We start from the raw sequence: 14216 nt of genomic DNA on the forward strand, positions 1-14216 counted from the left end.
TTTGCATCATATGTCCCAGAAAGGGCCAGCAACATGGAAACACCAATGTGCATAGGCCAAAAAGCCCCATCAAATGTCTGCTTTCTTTAGCCAAAGAACCAGTGAAGAATCAGCCTAGCAAAACAAAATCTCTTAGACAATAACAATGCTTCTCCAGCTAAATGCCACAGAAAAAACTGGCTCCACTGCACAGTGCTTTCATTCTCACCAATCTATAATGAGACTCCTCAATGCTCTTCACCAGGGTGGGAAATCAGAGAAGGCCAAACAGGAACCTAGAATTTTCATCCTTGCTGTGCAATGACAAGGCCCACTGCCGTCATCTACAGTCCCAGGGGAGCCTGAATTTCCACTACCCATTCAGTAGTATTAAGGCACCCCTGCCCCTGTCCCCACGGGGATGGTATCAGAGGAAGTGGGCTGTAGAGGCAAGACTTTTGCCGCTGCCCAGTTGTAACAAGGTCACCTGCCCCTCTGTGGTATCAGTGAAGACTACTTGGGAACCAGCAACTAGGCACTCCTACCCCTCCCAGCCAGGGACATATCAGTGAAGACCTAGTGGGGAGCTAGAGCTCCCACCCCCACCCAGCTATAGTAATGAGCCCCCCACCTAAGGTGTTAATGGTGGCTTAGTGGGGAAATTGGGATTCTACTCCCATCTGGCATTAAGGAGGCAGTGAGACCCCTCCCTGCCTACTATCTTTTCCTTCTGGGGAGGTATTACAGGAGAAAGAAAAGGTTTAAATAAGACCCAGGGTTTCATAACATAATATACAAAATGTAAAAGTTTCAACAAGGGATCAGTTGTCATACCAAAATCCAGGAAGCTGTCAAACAGAATGAAAAAAGAAAATCCACAGATGCTGAAAGTGAAATGACAGAGATGCTAGAAATGCCTGGCAAGGGTTTTAAAGCAGCAACCATAAAAATGCTTTAACAAGCAACTACACACTTGCCTGAAACAAAGGAAAAAATAGAAAGTCTCAGCACAGAAATAGAAGGTATCAAAAAATACCAAGTGGATATTTTAGAACTGAAAAATTCCATAACTTAAAAAAAATTAAATCAACAGGCTCAACAGCAAAATGGAGGGAACAGGAAAAAAATTTGTGAACTAGAAGATAGAATAATAGAAATTATCCAATCTTTTTTTTTTGTATTTATGTTTCTGCCCAACTATTAACAATCTTAATTTAAAAAGAACAAATAAACCGGGAAAAAATTAAACAGAACCTTAGGAAACTGTGAGACTATAACAACAACAAAAAAAACCCTCTAACATTAGTGTCATTGGAATTATGGAAAAAGAGGAGAAAGAGTTAGGGCGTGGTGGCTCATGCCTGTAATCCCAGCACTGTGGGAGGCTGAGGCGGGTGGATCACAAGGTCAGGAGATTGAGACCTTCCTGGCTAACATGGTGAAACCCCGTCTCTACTAAAAATAAAAATAAATTTAAAAAAATTAGCCGGGCATGATGGTGGGCACCTGTAGTCCCAGCTACTCAGGAGGCTGAGGCAGGAGAATGGTGTGAACCCAGGAGGCGGAGCTTGCAGTGAGCTGAGATCGCGCCACTGCACTCCAGCCTGGGCGACAGAGCAAGACTCTGTCTCAAAAAAATAAAATAAAATAATAAAATAAAATAAAATAAAATAAAAATAAAAACAGAGGAGAAAGAGAGTAGAACCAATAAAATACTTGAAGAAATACTGTCTAAACAAAAATCCCAATTTTGGCAAAAAACATATACCTATAGATTCAAGAAGCTGAGTAAATCTCAAACAGAATAAAACCCAAAGAAATCCACACCCAAGACACATTACAGTCAAATTTCTGATAACTAAAGACAAAGGAAAAGTCTTCCAAGCAGCAAAAGAGAAATGACATTTACCTAGAGGGGGAAAAACAATTCAAATGAAAGTGGATTTCTCATCAGAAATCACAGGAGTTAGAAGAAAGTGGCACAACATTTTTCAAGTGCTGAAAGAAAAAAAAAACTGTCATCAGAAACCTATATCCAGTGAAAATATCCTTCAGGAATTAAAGGGAAACCAAGATATCCTCAGAGGAGGAAAAACTAAGAAAATCTGTAGTGAGCTGCTCTTGTTAGGGCTGAACTTTTGCCCTAAAACATGGCAAAATGAAGTTCTCTAAACATAAGAAAATGATAAAAGAAAAGATCTGGAACATTAGGAAGGGAGAAAGAACACAGTAAGCAAAAATATGGGTAATACAATAGAGTTTCTGTCTCCTCTTGAGTTTTTAAAATTATGCTTAATGGCCGAAGCAAAATATTTAACACGGTCTAATGTGATTCTAAATGTGTGTAGGAGAGTATTTAAGACAATTATATTATAAATATAACTTATATATAAGGGGAGGGTAAATTGATATAAAGTGAGGCAACTTTTTTTTTTGAGACAGAGTCTCACCCTTGTGCCTGGGCTGGAGTGCAGCGGTGCAATCTTGGCTCACTGCAACCTCTGCCTCCTGGGTTCAAATGATTCTCCTGCCTCAGCCTCCTGAGTAGTTGGGATTACAGACATGCGCCACCACGTCCGGTTAATTTTTGTATTTTTAGTAGAGACAGGTTTCACCACGTTGGCCAGGCTGGTCTTAAACTCCTGACTTCAGGTGATCCATCTGCCTCGGCCTCCCAAAGTGTTGGGATTACAGGCATGAGCCACTGTGCCCTGCCTGGGGCAACTTTTCTATACTTCACTTGAACTGGTAAGATGATGAAACCAGGAGATTTTAATATGCCATATATATATATATATACACATATATATACACACACACATATATAGTAATATCTACAGCAACCACTAGAAATGCTATAGAAGGAGATATATCCAAAACAGTGTAAATAAACCAAAATGAAATTCTAAAAAATGTCCAAGGCAGAAAAAGGAAATCAGAGGAATTAAAAAAATAGAACAGAAAAAATATAAAATAGCAAACTTAAGTCCCAACATGCCAATAATTACATTAAATATAACTAACACAGCAACTAAAAGAGATTGGCAGAATAGATAATCCAACTCTATAGTGTTTACAAGACATTCACTTCAAATATAATAATATAAACAGTTTGAAAATAAAAGGAAGGAGAAAGATCTATCATGTAAACATTAATTGAAAGAAAACATGGTGGCTATGTTAGCATTAGATAAAGTAGACTTCAGAGCAAAGAAAACTAAAAAGACAAAGAGGGATCTTACATAATGATGAAAGGATGGATTTACCAAGAAGATACAGCAATCCTAAATATGTATGCACCAAACAACAGAGCTGAAAAATATGTAAATGACGGAACTGAAAGAAGAAATAGACATATCCACAATTATATTTGGACACTTTAACAACCTTCTCTGGACAATTGATAGAACAATTAGAAAACCAGTAAGTATACAGAACTCAACAATACCACCAATTTACAGGATCTAATAGACATCTATAGAACATGCCACCCAACAACAGCAGAATACACATGTTTCAAAGGCCCATGGAACATACACCATGATACACTATATCATAGACCATAAAACATAAATCTCAACAAATTTAAAAGAATTGAAATCATAGAGTGTGTTCTTCAACCACAGTGGAATCAAACTAGAAATCAATAACAGAAAGATAACGAAAAGTCACCAAAAACATAGAAACTAAACAACACAATTCTAAATCCACGGGTCAAAAACAAAGTCTCAGGATAAATTTACAAATACATTGAACTGACTGAAAATGACAATACACTGTATCAAACATTTTGGGACACAGCCAATGCAGTGCTGAGAGAGAAGTTTATAGCACTAAGTGTATATATTACAAAAAAGAGAAAGTGTTAAATCAGTCATTTAAGTTCCCCCCTCAAGAACCTAGAGAAACAAGAGCAAAATACATCCCAAGCAAGCAGAGGCAAGGGAAAAAATAAAGAGCAGAAGTCAATGAAATTGAAACAGAAAACCAACGGAGAAAAATCACTGAAACAAAGAGTTGGTTCTTTGAAAAGATCAATAAAATGGAAGAACATCTAACAGGACTGACAAAGAAAAAGAGAGAAAACACAAAGTACCAATATCAAGAATGAAATAGCGGATATCACTACAGACCCACAGATACCAAAAGGATAATAAAGGAATAGGATGAACAACTCTACATGCATACATTTGACAAATTAGATTATATTACCCAATTTCTTGGAAAACAAATTACCACAACTTACCCAATATGACATAGATCATATTTTAAGTTTAAGTAGCCTTACATATAACTTATACTATTAAGGAAGTTGGATTCATAATTGAAAAACTCCTCAAAAAGAGCAAGATCTGTGAGTGCTCACATGAAAAGAAATGGAATATTTATAAGAGAATGAAAAATCATAGAGTAATTCACAGAATAACATAGATTTTATGAAAAAAAGGAAAGAACTATATGGAAATGTATGTATGTGCACAGACTATCTTTGGACAGAAAGAGACTGGGAAGAGTGTAAGAGGGACAGTTGGTTTTTAGTGATTTTTTATTTTATATCCTTCTAAGCAGTTTACACTTTTTTCTTTTATTATTTAACTTTGTTTTAAATATCAACATCCACATGGTTTTCCTGGCTGCTCAGTCCAGAGTAGCACAGAACATAGGAGCCCAGCCTTAACAGACACATCACCTGCTTTCCCATCTCAACTTTACCACCCTCTAGCTGGTAGAGGTGACCCCAGCTTCCCTCACTGTCAAACAAGGACAAAGATCATGAGGAATAAGTGTCTGGGAGTGCCAGGACTCAGAAATTAGCAGAGCAGCACGGTGTACCTTGCACTGTGCTGGGTGCTGTGAAGATTTAGGAGCAAGAACAAACCCAGGAAGCACCTGAGGGGAAATCGCGGGAGGGCAGGGGGTTGCCTGAAGGTGGTGGCTCTTGAGCTGAACCCCGAAGGAGCTGTAGGATCTGTTTGGGCCCAGGAGAGGAGAAATGTAATTATAGACAGAGATGTCAGGAGGCAAGGCAAACCCACGGTGCCTGGAGACAGGGTGGCCAGGGGGCACCTGGGAACCCAGCCAGGAGTCCTCAGGCTGTCAGGGCAGGCAGTTCTCCTTCAAGGAGGCCGATCAGAGCTCTTACTTCGTTAAGAAGACAGTAGGGCCAGGGTAATGTCCTCGTTGTATTCTCAGAGCTGATTTTCTTTTCTGTTTTCTATGAGACTTTAAAAGCCATCAGCTAATAAAACTGTCCTTCGGGTGCTCAGTGTGCCACAAAGTGTTGCCAAGTGCAGCACATCCTCATATCCCCTCCACAGTTCAGGGTGCAGACATCCTTCTCCCCAGTTACAGATTCAGAAGCCACCCATGAGCCCCATCGCAGATCCAGGCCTCCCAAGGAAGCCTCATTCGCACAGAAAGCTCTAAAGCTAAGATCATCTCAGACAGCTGTGATTAAACACTCATTTCACAGACGAGGAAACCGAGGCCCTGAGTAGGAAAGGGGCTTGCCCAGAGTCACAGGGGGAAATGATGACAGAGAAGAGCATGGATGCCCAGCCCAGCGCCCGTGGCTCTGCATGAGAAACACACAGCAAGGCCCTGGTCCGTGCTTGCTCGGGTGATGCAGGGGTTACCATCGGTGGCTCTGAAATTCTCTCTCAGTATTTCTGGGGTTGTCTGTTTTGAATCAATGGTCATGTCATCCCTCAGAAGTGCAGGGAGAGAAACCCAAGTCCAGGGAGGTCCAGTGGCCAGGCAGAAGTCACAATGCTACTGAAAGGCCCAACTGGAAACTGACCACAGTTCCAGCAGCCCCAGTGCCCTGACTGTAAACCCCACTCTCAAGGCGACTGCATGGGTAAGGGACCGCCCAATTGGATGGGAAGCACCAGAGGTGTGGAGAGCCAGAGGGGCAGGAGTTTGGAAGACCACACGGACGCTGCAGAATGTTCTGGAGACTCTGACATCCCGGAAACCCCCAAGGGTAGGGGCTGGTGGAGGGGAGGGCAAAGCAGGGGGCCGCAGGCCACATGCTTCAGGACCCAGCCGGCAGGCTGGAGGATGGTCCTTCGCTGGGAACTGTCTCTAGGCCTCCCGAAAATGCCAGGCCAAAGAACTGGGCAGGCGCCCCTCTTCCGCCAGTGACCTTGACCCAAGCTGGGCTGGGCTTTCAGATACGACACGGCCCCTTCCCCTCTTATCCTCTTCCCAAGGTCGTAAAATGAGTCGGCTTCTGGGTGGCAGGACTTTTGCAGGGACCCTCGTTTGCAGTTCTTGCTGGGGCTGGAGCGGTGTGGGGCCCGTGACTGGGCTTGGCGTGAAACTAGAAGCGGCCAGGGCAGGTGTAAATTATGCATAGCTATTTCTGGAAACTTCTCAGATTTCTCAAGAGAGAGAAATTAATTTGCCTGTTTGGGCAAATAACACCAATTTTTTTTTCCCCTGCTTAAGGTCATTTTGTTAAAATAAAATTGATTAACGTTCTCTTTAAAGTTTAAGTAGAAACTGCTCAAACATATTTTTATGCATAGAAGCACGGTTTGCGCCCTTCAGTAATTAATAACTCCACAAATAAGGTAACACCAAGCCGCTCGCAGCGCACTCAGCCCGCGGCCCCCAGGTGGGTGGGGCCGGCCCGATGCGGGCCAATCAGGGCTCAGGGGAGGGAAGGGGCGGGCCGGCCGCGCACCAACCCCAGGCTGGGGCCGCCCCGGCGCTGTCCCGGCTCAGGCAGGTCAAGGATCCGCCCAGCTAGGAGCAGTCCAAGTAGAGGCTGACCCCAGTGGACTATCACCTGGAACCAACCCCAGTGATGAGAGTATCAGGAGCTAACCACTTCTCTCCTTCTCTCCTTCCCTCCCTCCCTTCCCTCCCTCCCTCCTTCCCTCCCTTCCTTCCTTCCCTCCTTCCTTCCTTCTCTTTCTCTTTCTTTCTTTCTTCTTTCGAGACAGGGCTTCGCTGTGTCATCCAGGCTGGAGTGCAGTGGTTCAGTCACAACTCACTACAGCCTGGAACTCCTGGGCTCGAGTGATACTCTGCCTCAGTCTCCCAAGTAGCTGGGATTACAGGCAGGGCACCACGCATGGCTGATTTTTATTATTATTATTATTATTTGTAGAGACAGGGTCTCGCTATGTTGTCCGCACTGGTCTCCGACTCCTGGCCTCAAGTGATCCCCCCATCTAGACCTCCCAAAGTGCTGGGATTACAGGCATGGGCCACTGTGCCCGGCCTGGAGCTAGCCATTTCTTATGTGCTCTGCTCAAGGGCTTCTTGGGGCTGGGAACAGGGCTTTGGAACCGGACTGCCAGCATTAGAATCTGAGCATTGGGCAAGTTAGCATCTCTTTGCCTTAGTTTCCTCAGTTGTAAAAAAGAGATAACAGTACCCACGTGATAACGTTAGTTATTGTGTGGATTAGGGGAGTTAATACACGGTGCCTAGGAGAATACCAGGCACCAATAATGTTATTAAACGTCACCGTCATTCTTATTTTAATTTCACAACTTTGTGAGATAAGTATTATTTTTTATTTTTCCCATTTACCAATGAAAACACTGAGGCTCAGAGAAGTTAAGGGCTTTATTTGAGGTCACACCGCTAGTAAGTGATAGAGCTGAGGTCTGAATCCAGGTATCATAGTCCGCAGAGCTTAGGCTACAAGTTGTCTTCATATACATGCTTATCTTCCCCTAGACCTTTTAAATTGTCATGGATTCACTTTCATACGCAATATCTGCATTCATTTAGTAAATATCTTATCTGCTCCAGATCCTATGTAGGGTGCTGGATATAAGGGCATTTACTAAGAGTCAGGCTCTGCCCTCAAAGATAGTCAGAGACAGGTGGGTGGAAGGTGGGGACAGCTTGGGTAGTCATTAGTGCAGTGTTCCAAGCCTTGCTGATTCTCACTTCTTCCAGGCACAGGGCAGGATTGCACTTCCTGGCCCTGTGATAGAATGGGGCCATGTGACAATTGCTGGCCAATGCATTGTGAGTCTAAGAGCTCTGTATTTGTGTAAGTCCCAGGCAAGAGCACTGAACTGCCAGTTCTCTCTCTCTCTCTCTGCTTGGTTGCTGACCATATTTAAGGGGGTGGCTGCTCCCTGATCCTAACTTCTGAGTGACCTTGATGTGTTAAGGAAGCCCCCTGGGTATCCAAGATGGCTATGGAATATGAGTCAGAAAGAAATCTTTGTTGTGTTAAACCATGAGAATTTGGGTCCTTTTGTTAATGTGCCATATCCTAGCCTGTCCTGACTGACAGACAGTCCCACAGACAAATAGGTATAAAAGGCAGTACTGTGCATGCCCAGGGATGGACTTACACACCAGGTAGTATCAGCGTTCTTATTATGAGAGCATTTTACTTAGCTGCGGGGGTCAAAGTGGCCTGAAGAATAAACTGGGCCAAGACTAGGGTGAGATGAATGAGGCACTTCCTTTGGGACCAAAATTTAAGTGAATACAAAACAAACAAACAAACAAAAAGCCAGAGTAATACTTTCATGTTTCTGAAAATAAAAATTAATGTAAAAAATGATGGAAAAAAATGGCAAAGTGTTAAGTAAAGACAGAATCTGATGCTACATTTGTGCCATCCCGCCTCACCTGCCAAATCCCAATCCCAGCCCTGCTTCCAGTAAAACTTTATTTTCAAAAATGGGCTGCCAGCCTGCAGGCTACAGCCTGCCAATGTGATTTTAAAAATATTACATGAAAATATTGTTTATTTGGATTACTTAGCTTTTTGGCACCCACTTAAGTTTTGCTCCCAGGGGAGTGCTTCACTGATCTCACCCAAGTCTTGGCCCCAAGAATTAGACAGCTGAGCTGGGTCTAAAAGTAGGAGTTAACCTGGGGTGAGGGAGCGGGAGAAGGGAAGGGCATTCCAGCAAGAGGAAGCACCATGAGCAAAGGCATGGAGGGAAAGGACAGCCAGGGGCATGCATGGCAAACTGTACTTTATTTGGTGCTTTTGGAAAGAGATCAAGCAAGATAGAGTTGCAAATATTCAGCCTTTATTGAGTGTTGTGAGTTTTCTCCTGTTCTCTGACATCAAGAGTACTGCACAGGGTATATAATCATGGAGCACTCTCCTGGCAAGTCTGAATGAGCCAAAATCAACTGTAAGTTGTAAAATAGTGGCACCGTGGACTTGCTTTGAAGGGTAACAAGCATATGGGGGATAAATCCTTGTAGGGTGTCTCTCTCTTCTCCAAAGGCAAGTTCCAAGCCATACCAATAAATACATAACACCACATGTCACAGGTGCTATGATAGACAGGAACCAGAAGTGATTACTGGGTTAGTCAAGTTACCTCATGGTTCAAATGGCTTCTGGAACACCAGCTATTGCAGTCACATTCCAGCCATCAGACAGATAGGAGGAATGAACTCATTTCTTCGCTTTCAGGACAATTCTTAGAATTTGCACATACTGCCGTTATTTATATCCTACTGATAGAACCTATGGCGACCAATAGCAATAGGACCACACCTAACTTCTGGGAAGGATAGGATATATAATCTGCCCCTTCCCTTCTCCAAGGTAACCTCTGCTCAGCTATAAATTGGTTACTTTATTAATGAAAAGAAAGAGAACCAGCAGTCTTTCCTGTACAGTACAATTTCACTTTATTCATCGTTGTCATCATGATTGTTATAATAAAATTAACAATGGAGTCAGACACCCCAGGCTGGAAGGTGAGGCACCCAAGTTATAGTCGCAAGTCTATCCTGAATGGTATGATCTTGGACAAGATTCTGAACTTCTCTGGGATTGTTTTAAGCCACCTAGAATTGAAACTCCATAGGAATACAGCTCTCTAAGGGTACTTCTGGCTCGTTTCCAGCTCACGGCTTCTGCATTTGCAGTGTTCTCTTCCCACTGCTCTTGGACTGCCCACCTCCCTTATTTCTTCAGGTCTCAAGCCCCTGCCTCAGCAAGGCCTTCCTTAATGCACCCCTGTGTCTCATACACGGGTCCCTCCATTAATCCCTGGCAGCTTCTGGCTTTGCCATCACGGCACTCATGACCAGGTGTGGCTATGCATTTACTGGCATGCTTGCCTGTGCCACTGTGGCCTCCATGAGGCCAGGGACCACATCTGCTGGTCATCTCCTTATCCCCAGTGCCCTGTGCAGTGCCTGGCACCTGGGGGCAGCTCAGTAAATACTTGCTGAATGGATGAGTAGAGGAAGGGATGGATTTGAGTTTTGGTCCTATTTACTGAATATTTATAGGTACAGGTTCCATCCCTAGGAACACACACCTTAGGAGGGAAGAAAAACAGGTGAAAAGTTCAATATTACACAACTGTGAATTTAAAAGGAGCGTTCTTTAAGGCTGGGGAACTCGAGAAGATTTCTCCCATGACAGTTTCTCCACTGAGACTGAAACCCTTACCTGCCTGCTTCTGGGCACTCTGGGCAGGTGTTCCATGACAGGGGCCTGTGGCCCAAGGGTCCTGGTCCATTTCCCAGCCTGGGCAAAATTCCTCTGCCCAGAGAGCCGCTAGAAACTGACAATTTGTACATCTAAATACAGCAGCAATGAACCTTAGGCTTTCAGTCACCTCGCCCACTCCCCAAAGCCAAATCCAAATGAGAGGCTGATTCCATCGCGCCCTCCTGGCTGAAAAGGTGCCCTCCTGCAGGATGCCTGGCACCATCATTGATGACCATGCTGCTTACAGGTCTCTGTGTGCAGCCCTTTGTCAGGCATCACTTCATACAAGCCTCCCAGAGACCCTCTAAGGCCCCTCACAGTTGAAAGGCAAGTGTCTCATCCCAGCTCCAGACCTTTCCTCTGGAAGGGGTTAGTGAGTTCTCCGAGGCACAGGTTTATAACCCTACACTGCTCCCCAACCCTAATACCACCTGATGGTAAAGAATGCCAGTCCCAGGAAGGGCCTCAGGGTCCCCACTGCCAGCCCCCTCCCCACACAAAGTCACGAGGGGCTCTCAGCCGTAGCAGCAGGGACAGAGCCAGCCGGAGAACAATGCGGCCGGGGTGAGGGGGGAGTCGGTGGGGTTCCCTGGCTGCCTTGTCACCGCCATAAACCTCATTACCTCACGGTCCCCTAGGCCGCCTCTCTCCTTACCCAAGGCATCAGCCGGCTTCGCTGCTGATTCCCACATGGCGTGAAAAGCTCTTAAACCCCCCGCTGTATTTTTAATGGGGGCAGTGACTAATTTAGCCCTACGCCACCAACCGTCAAATCGAATCTTCTATTGGTAGTTACTGAGGGCTCACCTGGGCTCCATGGGGTTTGGGATAAATCCAGAGCTGGAGAGGGCCCTGAGACGGAGATGTGGCAGGCCCCGGGACATACTGGTCCCATCGACAGTCCCAGCACTGCCCAAAAGGTAGGCCTGGCTGTGGATGTGTGGCAGCCTCACTCAGACATAGCCCCAGCCCCAGGCCCCAAGCCCCAGTCCACGGGTGGGCACACTTAGAGGAACACTGGTGTCTACCCTGGGGTCTTCCCCCAAAACTGCCAGGTCTCCAGGAGGCTGAAAATTGGCATTCACAGCCTTCAGTTTCCAGGAGGCAACAGCCCACTACTGGCAGGGTCTGCTCTATGATTCACATATGTAAGATGCCTTTTGAAAAACTGAAAGCCCCACCCGCGTGAGAACATTACATGAGGTGACAGAAAGAAAGGGGAACTCTTATAGGTCACCAGAAGCCCCTTGATATGGGAGTCTTCTAGAAGATGATGGGTATAATTGCTCCAAATTCCACACCCGTGACTTAGTATTACATTATAATTAGGTGCAATCTGTCTGCCTGTTTCATTTCCGCTCTGCAGAGGGTAATAACCAATTTCCTTGCCCCTTGTGAAAAGTTAGCAAGGAAGGGTTTCCCCGTGCAAGTTCTGGCCTCTGATTGGCAAGTCAGCTGAGCACCAGCATGATGGAGGTGTGGGAGGTAACATGGAGGAGGCCTGGAGACCAAGGCTGCTGGGTGGGCCCTGGGAGGCCAGCAGGGCCAGGAGTAGGTGAAATAAGCAAGGTGCCTAGAGTGTAAAATGCAAGAGGACACCCATTCCCAGCACTTGCAGGTGTAGGGGGGCCCTGAGAGCGAGTGCCCCCTGAAATAATGTACCCCAGGCCCCTGCCTGCCTCACTCCAGACCTGGCCCCCGCCACCAGTCTCAATGCTCTCACATCCTACTGATCTCTATGACTGGGAACCTGCGGCTCCTACCTGGCTCTGCTCTGCAGTCCCCAGTCACACATCTCCGTGCCTCAGAACCCAAGTGCCACCTGGAGTCCTGGCAAGGGAAGGGCTACCCACTTGCCTGCCTGTATCCAACAAAGGGGAAAGCCAACCCTGAAGGGAAAGCCAAGAAGACTTCACAATCAGCATGGTGACCAACCTGCTGCGTGGCCTTGGGAAAGCTGCACGTTACCCTTGGGCCTCTGTTTCCCCATCCAAGAGTGGGAAGATCAGGGTATTCCATCATTAAGGGGTCTTCTGCTTTGACTCCTGTGGCCACTGCCAGCCTGTCCAGTCTGCATGCATTAGGTTACTACGATTCTTTTCCAAGGGGAGCAGGGTCTATTGTGTGCAGGTCCCCAAGGGCGTGTGCAAGCCCACAGGAACTTGTAGGGGAACACACCTTACAGGAGCTGACAGCCCCCCACGCGGCCCTAGGCTGGGGAGGAGAGAACCAGGCAGCCGGATGCTAATCGCATGGATTCCCTTTATTGAACTGTACTAGTTACTGCAGTCAGATTAAGTCACATTTAAAAGCAGACCATCCAGTTGCACTGAAACCGATTATATTCATTACATAGTTTTAATCACTGTCCGGTGAACTGGCAAATCCAATCAAAGCATTAGTCTTTAATTAAAAAATTAAAAGGAAATATTCAGACAATAGCCAAGCAATCACATCACGATGCACAATTACCTAGAATTGCAATTAAAAAGTAGTTAACCGAAGGGGGTGGGGGGTGGGGGGGAAGAAAAACAAGAAAGAAAAAAAAGAAGCAAAGAAAAAAAATCACACTAATTCTTTTTTAAAAACTATCAATATAATACATGAAGGAACAAAGGACAATAGCCTTAAAAAGCAGGTTTCTCTAACTCTAGAAATGTAGTCTGCGGCGGAAAGTCTAAAAGCACACTAGCTGTAGCAGGACAATAAAAAATACTGAGCATGGAATACTTTTAATCTCTGCCATTAATATTCATTTCCAGCTGCTTATAATAGCAGCGCCTCATGGCCAAATCATTAGAGTTTTACATCTGGGTTGCAAATGACACTTTGATTGGATGTAATGTTCAAATGGCCCTCCCCACGGCGTCTCCGGCAAGCCTTCTGCGGAGAGGTGTCCTGTTGAGCGATCCCTCACTGTGCGTGCTGGCTCATCGTGTGGTTCTGCAAAGGCGAAGAAAGGAGACACACATGAAGGAGAAGAATGGAGAGCATGCTCGTCCCTCCCACTCAGTGCATTTACGCCGGGAGCCGCAGAAAAGCGTCTCGATTATAACAAAACAAAATGCAACAAGGAAAAAGTGCTCCAGGGACGCAGCTGCCAAGACGCCACGTTGATTTGGGGCTTGGGGATAGGTTCCTGTTACTGCCAACTTGGACTCCCTATATGTTGTTTTTTGGCTTTTTTTTTTTTTTTTTTTTTAAAGACCATTCAGGTCTTACCGGGGGGACTGGCTAGGTGGAGGGAAAGGGGAAATGCCGGGGAGGAGGCAGGAATTAAAAACATCCCTGTTCACCTCTCCATCTCCCTTTTCCTCTAATGAAGAGGAGGAAACTCTGATCGCCTGCAGGCTGCCCTCGCATCCCCCTCTCAGTCTTCCCCGTGGCTGCTCCGAGCCTAGCAGAGGGAGACAGCAGATGTGCTGTGCAGCTCTCCGGCCAAGAAACACCCGAGCGGGCACAGGCGTGCTGAGGCAGTGGGCGGCCGTGGTGCCTGCGGCCCAGGCAGGGGACAGGTCACCCGGCAGGAAGACGCGGGAGGAGCCTCTGCTGCTGGGCTCCGGGAGCCTGCCTGCTTGGTCACATGGCAATGGCCCAACCAGAGACAGGGACTCAGTGCAGTTTGGCCGAATGCACCTAGGAATCCAGGGCCCAGGTGGGACCCTGTGGCCAAATGTTTCCCTCTCATTACAGTCAATGGCATTTCCTCCCCCTGCCAGCCAGAGGGGGCCAGCAGGGTTGATCTGTTTCACAGGAGCCAGCGGCCTGGGACTGGGGGTGGGAT

The 14216-nt window shown here is 46.1% G+C and overlaps 1 protein-coding gene across 15 annotated transcripts in view, besides 1 other annotated feature; it reads right to left on the reverse strand.

Moving 5' to 3' along the window:
- Positions 6577–6756: a silencer, noted in NCBI's record as "silent region_7461". NCBI's record gives its function as "represses an Ori minimal core promoter by ATAC-STARR-seq in GM12878 lymphoblastoid cells {active_cell/tissue: GM12878}" and the evidence as "EXISTENCE:reporter gene assay evidence [ECO:0000049][PMID:35858748]".
- The window catches only part of ZNF423 (zinc finger protein 423), a 371756-nt gene continuing 367134 nt past the window's right edge, over positions 9595–14216 (reverse strand). For 14 of the 15 annotated variants that reach the window (XM_047433809.1, NM_001379286.1, XM_047433808.1 and 11 more), the window contains one exon: positions 9595–13375. In XM_047433809.1, the coding sequence (XP_047289765.1) occupies positions 13346–13375 (30 nt within the window). In that variant the 3' untranslated portion in view covers positions 9595–13345. The remainder of the gene's footprint in view (positions 13376–14216) is intronic. The other variant, NM_001271620.2, reaches the window with a different exon arrangement.

Source organism: Homo sapiens, chromosome 16 (assembly GCF_000001405.40).
Source record: "Homo sapiens chromosome 16, GRCh38.p14 Primary Assembly".
NCBI classification, from domain to species: Eukaryota; Metazoa; Chordata; class Mammalia; order Primates; family Hominidae; genus Homo; species Homo sapiens.